Source organism: Homo sapiens, chromosome 4, assembly GCF_000001405.40.
Source record: "Homo sapiens chromosome 4, GRCh38.p14 Primary Assembly".
NCBI lineage: Eukaryota > Metazoa > Chordata > Mammalia > Primates > Hominidae > Homo > Homo sapiens.
The window spans coordinates 17,702,822-17,722,597 of record NC_000004.12 but is presented as its reverse complement, the minus strand read 5'-3'; the positions used below and the strand labels follow the sequence as shown (position 1 = coordinate 17,722,597).

The window sequence follows — 19,776 nt, the reverse complement described above, 5'->3', positions numbered from 1 at the left end:
CTCAGCCTAAATTGGTTTGGAGAACAGTTGGGTTTCAATTACTCAGAAGCTGATGTCTCACAGTTCAATGCCATGTGCAGCTAGGTGCCTAGCAACAGCTCTCTGATGAGCAATGATGAGATTTTAATTAGCGTTTTGGATCTATCTAGAAATCCATTCCAAGCTCATTTGCTGGAAGGAGCCCAGCTTTGTTGGGGACCTGTTTGAGCCTGTTTTCTTAAAGGAAGGGACAGTAACCACACAACCTCTGCTCTCCCCAGGCCTCTCAGCACCCGAATCCAGGGCTTCCTTCTGGCGGTTTAGTTAGTCCTCTTTTCTGACTTGGTGCCCAGAACACTGAAGCTCCGCTCTGTGTGCAGGGATGTGAGTCAAGAGCAGTGACTGTGGCCTTTTGGTGTCCTGTGATCCCAGGAAGCTCTGCTTCCCAGTAGAAATGGGATAGCCATACCCTCAGTCACACAAGCTGCAGAATCTTCTGGACTCTTCCGTCTCCCCCTCTCCACACCCAGTGAGTCACTGGCCCTGCCACTCCTCCTCCTGGACAGCTCTCTAGCCCAAACTCCCTTCCCTGGCCCCTTCCTTAACTCTTCTTCCTGCCTGCATCTCAACCAGACTGCTCTCTGCAACGATTCCAGAGATGCAGTTATGAGATGCAGTGTTATTCCCCCTAACTCCCAAGAGGCCGAATCTTGTGAGAGAAACTTCCTGCGTGGAACACATACCACAAGTCTCCAAAGTATGCATCCATCTGGCTTTCAGATCTTAGGCCCATTGCGAGGGAATGTTAAAAATGCATATCTCGGGACCTCCCCCAGACTCTCCACATCAGGCTGTCTGGGGCAGGGCCTGGGAGTCTGCATGATCACCATGTGCTAGCAAACAGGACAAAGTCAGCACTCGCTAACATGGATGCTGGACTTGTGAGGGTCTGACCCCTGCCCACCTGTCCAGCGTCATGTCATGGTGCGCTCCTCTTCCCTGCCAATGCCCTTCACCTCGGCTCTGCCCCGGAGGACGCCCCTTGCATGTCTTGCCTCTATGCCATGCCTTTGCGCTACTTCCTGCTCATGGTACTTCCCTTATCAGTATTTTCTTCCCCTTCCTGTCCACCTGGGTGACATTTGCTCACCTTTCCAAACCCAACTTGGGTATCCTCTGCACTCGGATGCCCTTTCTGCTAGGGCAAAGAGATTTTTTTTTTTTTTTTTTTTTTTGAGACAGAATCTTTCTCTGTCGCCCAGGCTGGAGTGCAGTGGTGCAATTTTGGCTCACTGCAAGCTCTGCCTCCCGGGTTCACGCCATTCTCCTGCCTCAGCCTCCTGAGTAGCTGGGACTACAGGCGTCCGCCACTACGCCTGGCTAATTTTTTTGTATTTTTAGTAGAGATGGGGTTTCACTGTGTTAGCCAGGATGGTCTCGATCTCCTGACCTCATGATCCGCCTTCTCGGCCTCCGAAAGTGCTGGGATTACAGGCGTAAGCCACCGCGCCCAGCCGAGATTTTTTATTCATTCAACAAATATTAGGGTCCTTTCCATGAGCCAGCCACTCTTTGGGGATCTGGTAGTGAACTCTGCAGACGAACTTTTTCACCTGCATGTAATTTATATTTTAGAGAGAAAGATAAGCAAATGGAATTACTGGATCATATGAAATTCTATGTTTAATTTCTTTTTCTTTTCTTCTTTTTTCTTTCTTTTTTTTTTTTTTTTTTTAGATGAAGTCTTTCTCTGTCACCAGGCTAGAGTGCATTGGCTTGATCTCAGCTCACTGCAACCTCCAACTCCCTGGTTCAAGCGATTCTTCCGCCTCAGCCTCTCGAGCAGCTGGGAACACAGGGGTGCACCACCACACCCAGCTAATTTTTGCATTTTTAGTAGAGACGGGGTTTCACCATGTTGGCCAGGATGGTCTTGAACTCCTGACCTCATGATCTGCCCCCCTCAGCCTCCCAAAGTGCTGGGATTACAGACATGAGCCACCGCGCCTCGCCCTATGTTTAATTTTTTGAGAAACCAGCATACTGTTTTCCACAGTGGCTACACCATTTTACATTCCCACCAGCAATGTACAGGGGCTCCAATTTTTCCACATCCTCACCAACATTTCTCTTTTTGTGATGATAGCCATTCTAATGAGCATGAAGTGCTATCTCATTGTGGTTTTGAGTTGCATTTCCCTAATGATTAAAGATGTTGAGCATCCTTTCATGTGCTTATTTGTTGATTCTAAAATTTTTGACGTTAGCAATTGAAAGAAAGGAGTTCCTGTGAAATGAGATGAGGAATATTGTGGGAAGAGCAGGTATTAAAAGGAAAAATCCAGAATTAAATTTGAGCTGCAGGTTCAATATCCAAGTAGAGATATTGGTAAGCAACAGAATACATGAGTATGACGTTCAGGTGGCAGGTCCAGCCTGGTCATATAAATTTGGGAGTCATTAGCAAATAGAGAATGCATTAAATAATGGAATTGAGTGAGACCCCAAGGAAATTTTTGCAAAAGAATAGAAACAGACTGAGGCTAACACTCTGGGGCATTCCTATGTGAAGGATGGGAGTTGAGGAGGATGTAACTAGCCAAAGAGATGAGAAGGAGTGGTCAGCGGTCAGTAGGAGTATGTTCTATTGCGGAAGCCAAGAGAAGACAATATTTCAAGAAGAGGGAGTGATTCATTAGCTCTAATGCTGCTGAAAAGTTGAACAGATGAAGACTGAGAACTGGGTATTGTTTTAGTAACATGGACATCACTAGTGACTCTGATGAGCTGTTTGAGTGGATTAGTTGGTGTAAAAGCCTGATTGGTGATAATTCAAGAGGAATAGGGAAGTTGAGAAATTAGTAACAATGGTTATAGAGTATTTGAGGAGTTTGCTATAAAGGGGTGTAGAAAAATGGAGAATGTGGGGTTAAAATAAAGATTTTTGTTCATGATAAAAATTACAGCACAGTTATGTATTGATAGGAGTGATCCACTAATGGTAATGAAGGAGAAAAGGGGGGATTACTGGAGCAATGTGATCCTTTCCTCCCCTGTGCCTTTCTCTGCACCTCTACAGACTTCTAGCAAAGTACTTGAAATATCCCTAGACAGTAGTCCCTTTTTTTCTGTGGTCTTGCTTTCCAAGGTTTTAGTTACCCAAGGTGGACCAAAGAAGTCTTGAAAATATGAAATGGAAAATTCCAGAAATAAACAATTCATAAGTTTTAAATTATTTGTCGTTGTGAGTAGCATGATGAAATCTTGTGCCGTCCTCCTCTTTTCCTCCTGGGATGTGAATCATACCCTTGTCCAGAGTATCGGCGCTGTAGTCCCTACCTGCCCATTAGTCACTAGTAGCTGTCTCGATTATCAGATCAACTGTCACAGTGCTTGTTTTCAAGTACATAAGCCTTATTCTTACCTCATAATGGCCCCAAAGCTCAAGAGCAGTGATGCTAGTACATTGTTATAAGTGTTCTATTTTATTACTAGTGATTGTTGTTAACCTCTTATTGTGCCTAGTTTATAAATTAAGCCTTATCACAGATATGTACATACGTATAGGAAAAAACATAGTGTCTATAGGGGTTGTACCAGCCAAGCTTTCAGACATCCAGTGGGCATCTTGGAAGGTATCCCCCTCAGATAAGGGACAACTACTGTACATACTAATTGGCTTTCTTTTCTATCTCACTTTGTGTATTAGGCAGATGTTCCTGCAATAATTCTGTGTAACAAACAACTCTAAATCTCAATGGCTACAGCAGTGAGTTATTTCCTGCTCAGTTTCACTGCTGTTCAGCTGATTTCAGCTGGGTTTGGCTGAGCCAGTTGCATTCCACACTCTGGGGTGGGGTCCAGCCTGCTCTGTGTCTCTCATTCTGGGACCCGTGGGTACCCAGCACAGGCTTTTCTTGTAGCAAGTGGTAGAAGCACAAGAGGGCAAGCCAAAGCACATAAACATATCAAAAGCCTTTGCTTGCAACAAGTCCACTCACATTCCCTTGGCCAAAGCAAGTCACACAGCCAAGTTCAACATCAATGGGGAAGACAAATAAATGCCATCCACAGACCATGGCAAGGAAGGGGAAAGAAAGGGCGAAGATTATTATACGGACAAATAATGTAGTCTGCCACACTCTACTAGCCTATAAGCCCCTCAACAGAATGGTCTTATTTGTTCTGTTTTTCCCATGCCTAGTATCATGCCAGGCATATAGGAAATGCTGCAAAAACATTGAGTAAAAGCATATTACCAGCTTTTTTTTTCTAAACAAGGTATGATTCTACTCTTTTAACTTTGGACCCAGAAGGATTTGGATTTGAATCCCAGCACTCTCACTTTTTAGCTCAATGACTTCTGGCAGTAATACCGATAATAGTAAAAATCATAACTAATGAATTTTTTAAGAGCTTAAGAAGGGTTAAGTGCTTAAGAGTGCTGTGAAGGGTTTTTGGTTCATAATGTCATTTGATCTCCAAACAAAACTCTCCGCATGTCTTGGATAAGGTAACTGAGACTCAGGTTCAGCAACGTACTGAAGTTCACACATCTAGAAAAAGGTGGAGTTCTATTATATTACCCCTACATATGAAGTTAGCCCCATCTGTAAAATAAGGCTAAGCATAAAAACATTCACTTTGTAGAATTGTTATTAGGTTGGTTTAAAAGTAATCACGGCTTTCCCCATTACTTGTTGCGATTACCACGATTACATTTGCACCAACCTAAATAGATTAATTGAAAAGACACATGTAAATTATCTGGCCCAGTGAATGTCATACTCTGGGCCCTCAACAGATATTATGTCCTTTTTTTTTTCTTTTTCATTTCAATTCTGATTCCTGCTGCCAAACTTGATGAAAACTGTCATCAGGATCTGATGCTTAAAAGCCATTAATTAGAGCCTTGTTAAACCTACAACACTCAATCTCTACGACCCTAACAGGCCTCTGCTGAAATCTCCTCTGACGTCAACCCATCAGCAGTGGATTTCTAAAACTCTTAGGAAGTCGTTTTGACTTGCTCAGAATTTCTCTTGGCTGCTGAATTATTTATGTGCCTTGATGGATTCTGAAGTCAGCCTCCCCCATAGGAGGTGGGTTTATAAATGAGGCCTGGAGCAGTCTGATGTTCCAGTCTAGAAGGTGGTGAGTGAAAGCAAGCAAGCAGATGGCAGAAGAGTTGCCAAGCGACCTGTGAGGCATGAAGCCCAGGAGAAGAGCGGACTGCTCAAAATCTGCTCAATGATTTCAGATATTCAGAACAAGTTGGAGGAGATTGTGTCTCTAAAACATGGGACCTTTCCTTTGGAGGAGATTGGGTGAGAGAGGAGGGAAGGAAGAAACGTTTAATAAGTATTTACTACGTGCCAGACACCTAAGATATATTACCCTATTTGATCCTCACAAAAACTGGGCCTGGATTCTCTCTATTTTACAGGCAAGAAAACTGAGCTTCAGAGAGATGAAATAACTTGAGCACATTTTAAAAGATAAGTTCTGGGCAGGGTGCAGTGTTTCTCACTGATGATCCTAGCACTTTGGGAGGCTGAGGCAGGTGTATCACCTGAAGTCAGAAGATCTAGACCAGCCTGGCCAACATGGTGAAACCCCATCTTTACTAAAAATACAAAAAACTAGCCAGGTATGGTGGCATGTGCCTTTAGTCCCAGCTACTCAGACTGAGGCAGGAGACTCGCTTGGACTCAGGAGGCAGAGGTTGCAGTGAGCCAAGATCACACCACTGCACTTCAGCCTGGAAGACAGAGGGAGACAATAGAATAGAATAAAATAAAATAAAATAAAGGGTAAGCTCTGGTATTGAGAATGCCAAGAATGCAAGGCTAAAGATGAGCTGAGCAGGGGATTGGAGATGTCAACAAGAATGTAATTGAAATGATTGACCATGAGGGACAGGCTGTAAAAGGACAGATGTTAAGATGAAAAGAGACTGTTAAACTAGGAGAGGGCTGGGCACAGTGACACACACCTATAATCCCAGCACTCTTGGAGGCTGAGGCGAGCAGATGACTTGAGCCCAGGAGTTCGAGACCAACCTGGGCAACATAATGAGACCCTGTCTGTAAAAAGTAAAATGAAATAATCATCCAGGCATGGTGGTATGCACCTGTAATCCCAGGTACTCAGGAGGCTGAGGTGGGAGGATCACTTGAGCCCAGGAGGTCAAGGTTGCAGTGAGCCATAATAACACCACTGCACTCCAGCCTGGGACATAGAGACCCTGTCTCTCAAAAAACAAACAAACAAAAAAACCTGGGAGAGGAAAAAGGGTCAAGCTCAGAGAACAAGTATAGAATGAGGGGAAGGGAGTGGAGAGGGTGGAGAAAAGAGAGGATGTGGTAAGAGTAAGTACATGTCCTGGGGAGCAGTCCCAGGAGTGCCCTTGCATGGTCAGTGGTGAACACTTGCACACATCTCCACATTGCACAGGAAGACACACTGGATGCTTGCAAGCATTCTCAACATTCTTTGAGCTAGTTTTATGACACAAGATGGCAGGTATGTTGTCCTCCTTCCTCTTGCATCTCTTTCTGAGGCTCCTGTATTAATTATGAAGATGAGTTTTTTAAGGCCAGGCATTGGAATTTTATTAGTTGCATTTATAAGCAAAAAGCAGACTTCAGGCTTACTGGCAGAAATGGAAAAAAGAGTAAAGAAAATTTTACTTAATAACAGTGAAATAAGAAACATGTCGATAATCTCCCACAGAAATGACTTAACGGCTCTCAGAAGGAGGCAGAGAAATAAATTATAACTTACACAATGGCACATGAAGCAGCCAAAAATTAAAATAAGAAATCTCTTTTTTTTTAAACTGACAAGTAAAAATTGTATACATTTATGGTTTCCAGCATGATGTTTTGATGTATGCAAATGTGATGGAGTAGCTAAATCAGGCTATTTAACATATGCATTACCCCACATGCTTATCATTTTTTGTGGTGAGAACACTTAAAATCTGCTCTCTTAGCAATTTTCAAATATACAGTATATTGTTATTAACTACAGTCACTGTGCTATATGAAAGATCTCTTGAATTTATTCCTTTAATTGAAATTTTGTGTCTTTTGACCCCATTAATTTCATTTTTTTTGTTTGTTTTTGTTTTTGTTTTTTGAGATAGAGTGTCACTCTATCACCCAGGCTAGAGTGACAGTGGCGCAGTCTCGGCTCACTGCAACCTCCACCTCCCGCGTTCAAGTGATTCTCCTGCCTCAGCCTCCCAAGTAGCTGGGATTACAGGTGCACACCACCACACACAGCTAATTTTTTAATTTTTAATGGAGATGGGGTTTCACCATGTTGGCCAGGCTGGTCTCGAACTCCTGACCTCAAACAATCTGCCCACTTTGGCGTCCCAAAGTGCTGGGATTACAGGTGTTAGCCACTGAGCCTGGCCCCAACATTAATTTCTTTATGTACAGAAATAGCATGGTCTCCAAAATCTATTATGAAGTTTAAAAAAATCAAGGTGCAGATGAATGTGTATGTGTATAAAAGACGGTGAAAATATGTGATATGGAGTATGTAACATAACATTCTTGTTTATGTACACACTATCCCTGAAAGGATATATAAGTAACCTTCTGTGCAGGGAGGTGAGGGGAAGGGGAGGGGAGGAACCATTTACCAGATTTCAGCCTGACAGAACAGTTCAGGCAGATCCTTGGTGTCCCCAAGGGATACCACATTTTGTTGGATTTGGGGACTTTGGTTGCCAGACACTGTGGCTCCATGTGAACATGCCAAAGTGCCCTTAGACATTGTGAGCCCACCATGTGGTACCCTCTCTGCTACCCTCACCCTGAATCTGATTTTGTGTTAATTTTGGGTGGGCACCTTGGAAGCTTGCCCCTAAATTTCCTCCAGATTTCATCCCATGCACGTTTCCTTTTAGCTGATTTTACTTTGTACCTTTCACTGTCATAAATCATAGCCCCGAGCATGGCTATATACTGAATCCTCTAATGAATGGTTAAACCTGGAGTTAGTCTCAGGGACCCCAAACAGGTACTAATAGATGCTGTTACAGATAAATGCCAAGATGTCAGAGGCTCAACACGGTAGTTATTGCCATAAAGATCAATGACAGACAGTGTTCCTGAGGGAGTAGGTGGCCTTCTCCCTGGTCCTTCAGGGCTCGGATGCCTTCCATCTTGAACTCTGCCTTCCTCTAAGGCCTCTGACTCCTCTGCATTAAGTTTGCAGATGAAAAAAGAAACTGTGGAAAGGACATAAGCCCTTCTTAATGTCCCCACATTGGCCCCAGGATGACACACATCACCCCATCTACCCAAATTCCATTGGCAATCACCAGTCATAGGACCTCACCTAAATGAAAGGAGCTAGGAAATGGGGCCTCTGCTCAATGGCTGTTCTGCAGCAGCTCTTCGCTGTGGAAGGAAAGCGTGAATCCTTGATGAACTGCAGCAGCCCCATAGCAGATACTTACTGTGAACCTACTGTATACTCAACTGTATACCAAGTGCTGTCGAGCAGCCCAAAGAAGTGATATGGTTCTTGTCCATGTGCAGCTTGACATGGAAAAGGGGATTGGCCACCCCAAGGATGAGGAGGCAAGGCCCACTTTTTCTGGGAAGTCTTCTTTCCTCCCAGACCGCTTCCTCTGTGTTTCCATAGTAACTGGTGACAAATCCTCTCGTAGTACTCATCGCAGTGCATTGAAACTTTCCATTTTCTTGTCTGACTCTCCTACTGGATTAAAATATTTCTGAGGTTGCAAATTCAGTTGTCTTATTGGCCAGCAGGTAACCCCAGTGCCCAGCACAGAGCCTGCCACATCCGAGATGTGCAGTGAATCCGCGAATGAATAAATGACTGAGTGAGACGGTGAGATGCAGTGTGGCACCATGTGTAGAACGTGTGCTTCAGCATTACTCAAACCTTCTTATATGAGACTTCACAAAAGCTACTGAACTTCTCTGAACCCCATTTGCTCAGAAAAATACCAAATTGCAGGGTTGCCATGAGGATCCTCTGAGATTGTGAATGTGTATATAGCACCTATCCCTGTGCTAGGCACATAGTAAATTTGATTAAAATGGTATCTGTTATTAACATAAATTATAGCCAGTGGGAAACCAATTTCAGCTTCCAGATATATTCTTGGATGGAAGTCATTAGAAGGTCACGGAAATTAACAGAAGTGGCCAAATCCTGTGCACCAAGTGATGAGAGGGAGGAGTTTTGGAGACAGCACTTCATTTCATTGCAGGATCTTCCTGGAAGGACAAGGGGACTTCCTTCTCCTGTCCATGACAGAGTGTTGGATTCATGGTCCTCAAGGTAGTGCTTATTCTCCCAGGGCTTCACAAGATGTCACATTCATATCGCACCTTGAGTTACATTCTTTAAGATGGAGTTCTGACTCCTTTATTCACTCATTCGCATAATAATTTTTAGAGTGTCCACTTGAGCCAGGCACTGGGGATGGAGAGTAATGAACAAGGAAGACCAAGCTTCTCTCTCCTGGAGTTTACATTCTGGTGAGGAAGACAGACAAAAAACTGATGGCTATATCAGACAGAGACAATGAAAAGTAAGATCTTAGGCTGTGTCGTGGTTATACGTTCACTCTTTCTTCAACATCTGCAGCCTCCAGGTAAACCGTTATTAAATCTATTACACATGTCACCTCTAGTGGTGCCATCTGGCCGTCGATGATGATTTTGTAATGAATGCACACATGCACAGACACACAGGCACACAGTGATACCCAAAACTTCCTCTCATACACTATTCCCGATTGGCCTATTTTCTATTTCATAATTATCTAAGCCTCTAGTTTTTGACTTTTTTTTAAAGCCATACAAAGCTTTTTTTTTGTTTTCTAAACTCTATGCTAGGGAAGGCTGAGTGTGAAAGCTCTTCCATGGTTGATAGGGGGCTCCCCACTTGCTCAGCCTCCCCCAGGATCCCTGATGTTGCCCTGACCTCTATCAGAGAACTCAAGACTACAAGGAGTGCAGTTTGAAAACCATGGGTGAATCAGTAATAGGAACTTGGCAATGAAGTTAGAGTGTAGTTCAATAGACAGCCTCATGGATAAGGAAAAACCAGCAACCCACAAAGGCTAAAAGTCCGTGTGAAAGGGTGTGATGGGGAGTCTTCAGGAAAACTTTTCTGATTGTAAATGCCCCAGGCAGCCAGTGTCGTGTTTGGCATCTGACTCCACGGCGTCTACACCAGCCCAGCTTCTCTTGCATTGTTCTCAGTGAGGACGTCTCATGTGGGGTTCACTCTGCCCTGGATTTCTCAGTCTTTGACCCCCTTATCTCCAGTGATCATTTCCTCTACTTGGCCTCAGTCACATGCTCCCTTTGCCACTTGGCCTTGTCATCACCAAAAAACTACTTCTGCTCCATCTTTCCATCTTGCTGCACCTTGAAAATACCTTGTCTTCTCTTTCTGTCACACCCACCAAATAAAACTCCAACTCCAGATAACCCATCCATCCTTCCTGTTCTTCTCTGAACTAATTCAGATGAACCTGACTGAGGAAAATCTCATAGCAAAGCAGAGAGAACTGTAACTCAACACAGCCTCTGATGCCACACACTGTAAAGTAGACCACTGGCTTCCCTCTTCCTAAAAATGAGTTCACAACTTCTCACACCTCACACTTTTATGCTTTCTTCCTGTCCTCCAACTCAGCTCACTGTTAGTGACCTTGTCTCATTCCACTGAGAATGTAGAAGCCACCTTCTCATGTCTACAAGGTGAGAGCTCCCTCATTCTCCTGTCCCAAGTGCCACACACCTGTCTCCACCTCTTCCTTCCATCCTATCCCCATGAGGACGTGTTCTCACGGCTCTTGAAACCAATCTCTGTGGTACCCTTCTCAGGGATTTTGGCCCTTTATTATCTATTGTTATTCCTGGGGCTTCAACTTCTGTTTGTTTTGTTTTTGAAACAGGGTCTCACTCTGTCACCCAGGCTGGAGTGCAGTGGCAGGATCACGGCTCACTGTAGCCTCAATCTCCCTGGCCCAAGTGATCCTCCCACCTCAGCCTCCCAAGTAACTGAGACCACAGGAATGTGCCACCATGCCCAGCTTTTTCATTTTTTGTTTTTGTTTTTGTTTTATTTTTTTTGAGACTGAGTCTTGCTGTATTGGCCAAGCTGGAGTGCAGTGGCGCAATCTCTGCTCACCACAACCTCCACCTCCCAGGTTCAAGCGATTCTCCTCCCTCGGCCTCCCCAGTAGCTGGAAGTACAGGCACCCACCCCACGCCCGGCTAATTTTTGTAATTTTAGTAGAGGCGGGGTTTCACCATATTGGCCAGCCTGGTCTCGAACTCCTGACCATGTGATCCGCCCACCTCAGCCTCCAAAGTGCTGGGATTACAGGTGTGAGCCACCACATCTGGCTTTTTTTTTTGGTAGAGACAGAGTCTCCCTACACTGCCCAGGCTGGTCTCAAAATCTTATGCTCAAGTAATCCTCCTACCTCAGCCTCCCAAAGTGCTGGGATTACAGGCATGAGCCACTGTGCCTGGCTTCAACTTCTGGATTCTCCATGGGGTCATTCCCATCATCCTACAAATATGTTCTGGAATCTCTCATCAAGCAAACAGCAACAAAACTCTCCTGACTTCACCCCCCTCCTCTGTAGCTCAGGCTGCCTCCTCTGAGCGCTGGACATTTATCTCTGTTTATGCCTTGGTGCCATCTCCACTAGTATGTCCAGGGGCACATCAAACTTACTATGTCCAAATTAGACTTCCCGATTTTCTTCTGCTTACCTGTTCTACCTACAGTTTTTCCCATTTCAGGAAACACCGACCTGTGGCTCAGGCCAACATCCTAAGAGTCATTCTTCATTCCCGGGCTTCTCATTGTGCTCCTGTCTTCCTTCATTCAGTTCTTCACACAGCAAAGAAAGCATTTTTTTTTCTTTTGTGTTAAAAGTGGGAGAACAGACATCTTTGTCTTGTTCCTGATCCTACGAGGGAAGCATTTAGTCTTACATCACTGAGTATGGTGTTAACTGGGGACTTTTCCTAGATGTGCCTTATGAGGCTGAGAAGAGTCCCTTCTGTGCCTTGCTTGTTGAGTGTTTTTTATCATGCAAAGATGTTTAATTTTGTCAAATATTTTTTTCTGTGTCTATTGAGACAATCTTGTAGTTTTTGTCCTTTACTCTGTTGATGTGGGGTATTACATTAGCTGATTTTCAAGTTATACTGGCCTTTTTATATATTGCTCTGTCCAGTTTTTGTTTCTTTGTTTGTTTGTTTGTTTTTGTGATGGAGTTTCACTCTTTTTTGCCCAGGCTGGAGTGCAATGGTGTGATCTCAGCTCGCTGCAACCTCCGCCTCCTGGGTTCAAGTGATTCTCCTGCCTCAGCCTCCCGAGTAGCTGGGATTACAGGGGCGTGCCACCACACTTAGCTAATTTTTGTACTTTCAATAGAGACCAGATCGCCATGTTGGCTAGGCTGGTCTCGAACTCCTGACCTCAGGTGATCCGCCTGCCTCTGCCTCTCAAAGTGCTGGGATTACAGCCGTGAGCCACCGCACCTGGCCTGGGTCCAGTTTTCTAAATGTTTTGTTCCGGGATTTGCATTCCAAAGTGTTCCTTCTGAACAAATGAGATGACATCACTTCTCTGCTTTAAAACTCTTCCGTGGATTCCCACTGTACTACAGAGGTCCCCTTCGGAATTCGGCCAAAGCTGCCCTCTCTGGGGCCTTTGTGCAATGTCACCCCTTTGCTCCCAATCCAAGTCCTTCCCTGTCGCACTTTGCAGCTCTCTCACTGGCTTCTTCTGGGAACAGTTTCTAATAAATCCCCTGCACGCAAATCCTCTTCTCAGGTGCCACTTGTGCAGATCAACCGCCATGCAGGAGAATATTGCTCTGTCCCCTCAGCCCTCCCACACCCCAGCCCCCTCACCCTAACTGGGCTCTGTTGATTTTCCTGCAGGTGATTTATGCCCTGAACACCCGCCAGGATGAGGCTGAGGCCAGCATGGAGGCGCTGCGGGAAGCGCACCAGGAGGAGCTCCAGAATGCGGTGGCAGAGACCAAGGCCAGGCTCCTGCAGGAACAGGGCTGCGCAGAGGAGGAAGCCCTTCTACAGCGCATCCAGGCCCTGGAGAGCGCCCTGGAGCTGCAAAAGAGGCTGACGGAGGAGGCGCTGGCTGAGTCGGCCTCGTGCAGGCTGGAGACGAAGGAGAGAGAGCTGAGGGTGGAGGCAGAGCACGCCGAGCGAGTCCTCACGCTCTCCAGGGAAATGCTGGAGCTCAAGGCTGACTACGAGAGGAGGCTCCAGCACCTGACGAGCCACGAGGCTACCCCGCAGGGCCGGCTGCCCCAGGAGAGCCCTGAAACCAAGTCGGAGCCAGGCCAGGGCCCGGAGATGCAGGAGGTCCTGCTAGAGGTGCAGCGGCTGCGAGTGGAGAACCAGCAGCTGAGCAAGGACTACGCCCGCAAGGCCGAGGAGCTGCAGGCCACCTACGAGAGGGAAAACGAGGCCATCCGGCAGGCCATGCAGCAGTCGGTGAGCCAGGCCCTGTGGCAGTGGCAGGAGAAGGAGTCGGACCTCCGCAAGAACTTCCAGGTCCAGGAGTCAGCCCTGCAGGCTCAGGTCCGGAAGCTGGAAGGAGACCTGGAGCACAGAGGCCGCAAGATAAGTGACCTGAAGAAGTACGCCCAGAAGCTGAAGGAGAGGATTCAGGTAAAGCAGCATCTCTTCTTACAACCCCAAAGGGATAAATCAGCAGGGCTGCTTATTGTGAACCTGCTATAGATCAGGCACTGTGCTAAGCACTTGCCTTCTACGGAGGTGAGCCCTATTATCTCCATTGAATTCACCTACATTCATTACACACACACACACACACACACACACACAGACACTATATATATATATATATATATATATATATATATATATATATATATAGTTTTGTTTCCTTATTTTTGAGACGGAGCCTCACTCTGTCACCCAGGCAGGAGTGCAGTGGTGCGATCTCAGCTCACTGCAATCTCCACCTCCCAGGTTCAAGCAATTCTCCTGCCTCAGTCTCCCTAGTAGCTGGGAATACAAGTGCCCACCACCATACCCAGCTAATTTTTGTATTTTTAGTACAGACAGGATCTCGCCATGTTGGCCAGGCTGGTCTCCAACTCCTGACCTCAGGTGATCCGCCTGCTTCAGCCTCCCAAAATGCTGGGATTACAGACTCGAGCCACTGCGCCCCACCCACAGATATTTATTGAACACTGACTATCTGCCAGGCCCAGGGCTATGGGCAAGGGACACGTGGTGAGTTAGACTTGGTCCCTAACGTTGGAGAACTTGGAAACCTACAGTCTACAGATGAGAAGCTAAGACTGAAATTGAGAGGCGTAAGGACTAGCCTACATTGGCACATGGCTAATAAGTGTTTGAACTCAGGTCAGCCTGATTCTAAAGCCCCTGTTAGTTTCATAGCAACCTAAAATCCCCAGGACTTTGTGTTTATAGAGAGCAGGATCATGGATGATTCAGTTATGTGAGCCCCACAAAAGCACAGAGCCCCATCTCTACAAGTAGCAGCAGTTAGTATTTCTAACACTCCCTGAGCATTTTTTTTTTACCACTTTATCTCATTTAATCCTCACTAAAGGAAGGCCAGAGGATGAGGAGAGATTTGATGAGCCCTGGGCCACTGAATTCCACTGACTCAGGGCTTCTGCTGTGCATATACCCGCCTTTCAGGTCTGATGGCTATTCTGTGTACACAGGATGTCTCTATACAGAGCTATAACCAGAGAAATGGGACCCTTCCTGTCTGTTTAGGACCTGGATGTGCAGCTTAAGGAGGCTCGACAGGAGAATTCAGAGTTGAAAGGCACTGCAAAAAAACTTGGGGAGAAGCTGGCTGTTGCCAAAGACAGAATGATGCTGCAGGAGTGTCGTGGGACACAGCAGACAGGTGAGATGCCCTGGAATGATTTCCTTAAAAGACCCAAGGTTAGCTGCCAGGTTGGTCTGGTGCTACTGGCAGCCTAAGCCTGCTAAGGGAGCAGAGAGGAGGGGCAGGGCTGCTTGATCTGACCTGCCTGGTGGGTGAGACCAATCCCTGCAGGGTACAGGTGAGCTGACAACTACAGCTGCCTCACCTGGAGCTGGCTCAGATTGGACATCTAAAAGGTGTGATGTGAAAGGACCCCTTGCCCCCAGATATTTCCCCACCAGGCTCACCACAGTGCCTGAAATTCTTAGCACTGACTCACTTCACCCCCCACCACTTACACAATGCTTTATGCTTTTAACATCATTTAACACAATTATGCTATTGAGTCTTTCCAATAATTTTGTGTGATAAGTATTGTCAATCTGGTTGGGCAGATTGATGGTGGCTCATGCCTGTAATCCCAACACTTTAGGAGGCTGAGGAGGGAGGGCTACTTCAGCCCAGGACTTTGAGACCAGCCTGGGCAACATAGTGAGACTCCATCTCTATGAAAAAATAAAAATTAAAAAATTAAATACAGGCCAGGCATGGTGGCTCATGCTTATAATCCCAGCACTTTGGGAGGCCAAGGCAGGTGGATAACCTGAGATCAGGAGTTCGAGACCAGCCTGGCAAACATGGTATAAACCTGTCTCTACTAAAAATACAAGAAAATTAGCCAAGCACAGTGAGGGGTGCCTGTAATCCTAGCTACTTGGGAGGCTGAGGAAGGGGACTCACTTGAGCCCTGGAGGCAGAGGTTGCAGTGAGCCAAGACTGGGCCATTGCACTCCAGCCTGGGCAATAGCAACAAAACTCCCTCTCAAAAAAAAAATTAAATTAAATACAAAGTATTGTCTTGAAATTTGGGGCTCAAGTGATCCCCTCACCTTGGCCTCCCAAAGTGCTGGGATTATAGGCGTTAGCCACCACGCCCAGCCCAAAAAGTATTGCCAATCTTTCATGTTACAGATGAAGAAATGAGACCAAGAAAAGATAAGTGGCTGGCTCAAGGTCAGCCAACTGGTTGGTGACAGAGCTCTTGCTTGTATCCAAAAATACATGATTCTAAGTGCCTTCCCCTAGGGCCCTCAACAGAAAGCTCTTGACACTGGGAGATATAACAAAGGCACAAAACCTGGGAGCTGCCTTCAGGGAGCTCATGGGCCTGTACCTTACGGCCCACAGCATGCTTTGGTATCTAGACATGGCCCAGGCAGCAGACGAATAACGTGCATGGGAAAGATGCCACCATGGAGCAGAAAGGTGCAGAGAAGGGGAGGTACTGGTTCTGCAGGAACCAGAAAGGTGTTGTGGGTTTCGAGCAGAGGTCTCAAAAGTGGGACATGAGTACTTCAGAGAATATGGGAGGAAAACTTAGTCATTCTGCTTATATTAAATATTGGTTTTTGTTTCATCCTTTAAATTCCTATTAAAAGAACATATTTGAAACATGCTCAACTTTTTTAACCTATAGAAACTGCAGTCAAAAAGATTTGGAGGTTATTTAGGAAGGTAGAGCAGGGCAGTTATTTAAGCTCACGAGGCTTCTTGAGAAGAGATGAGAATTGCTACCTTGACCATGCTTCGGGGTCAGCAGACCACAGGGCAGGAATTACACAGGGGATGTTGGACAAAGTGGTTGTAAAGCGGAACGGGGGCCTGACAGCAGAAAGCCTTGAACAAGAGGCCATGGCCAAGAGCATTCCAAATAATGCTGAAATGTATGCTTGCAGATGCCATGAAGACTGAGTTAGTTTCAGAGAACAAAGTCCTGCGGGAAGAGAATGACTTGGAAGCCGGCAATCTTCATCCTCAGCAGGATCAAAGCTGTCTCAAGGAGTGCCCTTGCATGAAAGGAGGCACAGATATGCAGGTAGTGTCTGACCCAGCCCTGGGGATGGAGAAGGCACAGAGAGCTTTGCTATCTATTATAAGCGTCAGGTAGAGGCCAGTCCCCAAGCATAGTGGATCCACTTGGAATCAGAAGACCCTGTAGTTCCTGGAGTAGAATTCCAGCCAACTTACTGCCTACTCCATGCTACTGGAAACCAGGAGACTGAGACTGTAGCAGAATCCTCCCAACGCTATATCATCGGCTTCTGGGAAACTGGAAACTGGCTTAGGATCTCATTGCATGTTCCCAGTCAAAACAAGCAAAGCATTATTTAAAATCTACCATAGTATGGGCTGAAGTATCTGATCTCATGATAATAGACACACCATTGCAAAAAGCCCTTTTCCAGTGGTGGAGACTTTTACTAACATCAAATATATAGTCTTGTAAAATTGATTGCACCTTGTGCTACATGCTGTAAAAACAGTGTATAAACGTTGTAAAAGTTGTATGAAAGGGAAATGGTGATTCCTTGCTCCTCACCCCTCCCCAGTGGTTTTACAAGGTCCTTTTTCTTTTTATAGACCAAGAAAGAGGCAAGTGCTGAGACAGAATATATGAAGCAACAATATGAAGAAGACCTTCGTAAAATCAAACATCAGACAGAAGAGGAGAAGAAACATCTCAAAGACCAGCTAGTGAAGCGACTAGAAGACTTGGTAAAGAAGCACACCGTGGAAATCAAATCCGTTCGCTCGTCCGTGGAGGCTGAAAGAAAGAAACTGCAGAGGGTGAGACCTACTTCCATAGAGACTGTTCTGGTTCTTTTTTCTTTCTCCCACCTCCTTTCTTTCCTTTTTTGTTCCTTCTTTTCTTCCTCAAACATTTACTGAGCTCCTGCTCTGTACAAATGTAAGCTTATTCTCTGAATACACACAGATGAAACATACAGTTATGATAGATAGCACAGCTCCTTATGCCTTCTCCAAAGGGAGTTCAGGGTCTTTTGGAGGAGATGGGGGACACCCCTATAGGCCTGGAGTCATTGACATGGGGTGGAATTGTGTCACGAGTGGTGAACTTAGGGAAATTCAACTCTACTTACTCTGCAAAAACACACAGAGAAATACCATTAACCAAAAATTCATGCCTGGAGGAGTTCCTGGATCCAATTCCCCACTCTATCACCACACTTCAAGTGATTTAACCTGGGCCCCCACAGAGGGCAATTCCACATGCCTCAGGATCCTAATTTGTAAAATGGAGGATGACAATAATAGCACCTTGTAGAGTAGCTGCAAGGATTTAATGAGGAACCACGTGAAGACACAAGGCGTATCCTAGTGCCTAGGACACGTGGGCAGCAGGTCGATACAGGTGATTAATCAGCAGCATGCCAAAGTGAGGGAAATTTCTGTCTCTGTGTGCTGTTCCACTCTCCCTCCAAACAGGGTGGCTTTCTGCTGGCAAGGCATGCAAAGCCTCGTCTCTTGTGTTTGCTGGAATAAGTAAGTAACATATGTGAAGATTTCAGAAAAGAAGGAAGTATGAAGCAATATCATTGTGAATGTAGGTGGAATGCTTTGTTTAATTACAAGGAGGCCTCTTTATAGCCCAAGATTCTGCAGTACCAGCTTTGAGTGTCCACTGAAAGATAATCCTGTATCACTGGGGCATGCACTGTTGTGTGGGGGTTACGAGTAGTAAATACTCAAGATTATGTGTTAAATGAACTGGTGAAAGATCAAGACTAGTCTTGGATCTAAGTCTTAACCCTGACACAAGCTGTGTGACTGTAGACAGGTCATATAACCTCTCGGCAGCCTGATTTCTTTTTTTGCTTTTTGCTTTTTTTTTTTTTGAAACGGAGTCTTGGTCTGTCACCAGGCTGGAGTGCAGTGACGCAATCTCGGCTCACTGCAACCTCCACCTGCCGGGTTCAAGCAATTCTCCTGCCTCAGCCTCCCAAGTAGCTGGGACCACAGGCATGTGCCACCACACCCAGCTAATTTTTGTATTTTTAGTAGAGACAGGGTTTCACCATGTTGGCCAGGTTGGTCTAGATCTCTTGACCTCGTGATCCGCCCTCCTTGGCCTCCCAAAGTGCTGGGATTACAGGCGTGAGCCACCATGCCTGGCCTAAAGCCTGATTTCTAAAATAGGGCTAAATACTTCAAGGGCTTATTATGTAAATTAAATATGGTATTATAGTATATATAAACCCTTAGTGCAAACATGTAATGAAAGTTCAAGATATGGTAGGTATTGTTAATTTCTTTTTTTGTTTTTTTTTGAGACAGGGTCTCTCTCTCTTGCCCAGGCTGGAGTGCATTGGTGTGATCATGGCTCACTGCAGCCTCAACCTCCTGGGCTCAAGGGATCCTTCCACCTCAGTCTCCTGAGTAACTGGGGCTGCAGGTGCATGCTACCATGCCTGGCTAATTTTTAAATTTTTCTGTAGAGATGGGGATCTCACCATGTTGCCCAGCTGGTCTCGAACTCCTGGACTCAAGGGATCCTCCCACCTTAGCCTCCCAAAATGCTGGGATTATAGGCATGCGCCACCATGCCCAGGTCTCATTGTTAATTTCCATGTGCATTGGGTAACATAATGTGTGATAATATTATTTCATGACCACTATACTTTATAAAGTACCTCATACTTTAGAACACATTTAGTCTTTCCAACAATATTACAAAATGTTCATATCCCCATTTAGAGTTGAGGAAGCTGAAGCTCAAAGATGTTATATATCAACACACACAGCTAAGTGGTGGAGCTGCAATTCAAATCTGATATCCTGACTCCAGAGCCCGTGGCTTCCCCACCTTCACACTGGGTAGGCAGCTGTATTGAAAGCATTTTTTCTCCACATGAGCTGCAACTGGTTGCACAAATCTAATCCTCAGACAAACAGATGGACACTCTTTCCATCCCCGGCCACAAGCAGCAGGAGGGACCGCAGCAT

At 45.6% G+C, this 19,776-nt stretch overlaps 1 protein-coding gene across 2 annotated transcripts in view; it reads left to right on the top strand.

Annotated features, from left to right (window-relative positions):
* Positions 1–19,776, top strand: part of FAM184B (family with sequence similarity 184 member B) — a 152,316-nt gene that overhangs the window by 59,024 nt on the left and 73,516 nt on the right. For both annotated transcript variants that reach the window (NM_015688.2, XM_047450066.1), the window contains exons 2-5: positions 12,954–13,706; positions 14,814–14,949; positions 16,707–16,846; positions 17,392–17,598. In NM_015688.2, coding sequence (NP_056503.1) covers positions 12,954–13,706; positions 14,814–14,949; positions 16,707–16,846; positions 17,392–17,598 — 1,236 coding nt within the window. The remainder of the gene's footprint in view (positions 1–12,953; positions 13,707–14,813; positions 14,950–16,706; positions 16,847–17,391; positions 17,599–19,776) is intronic.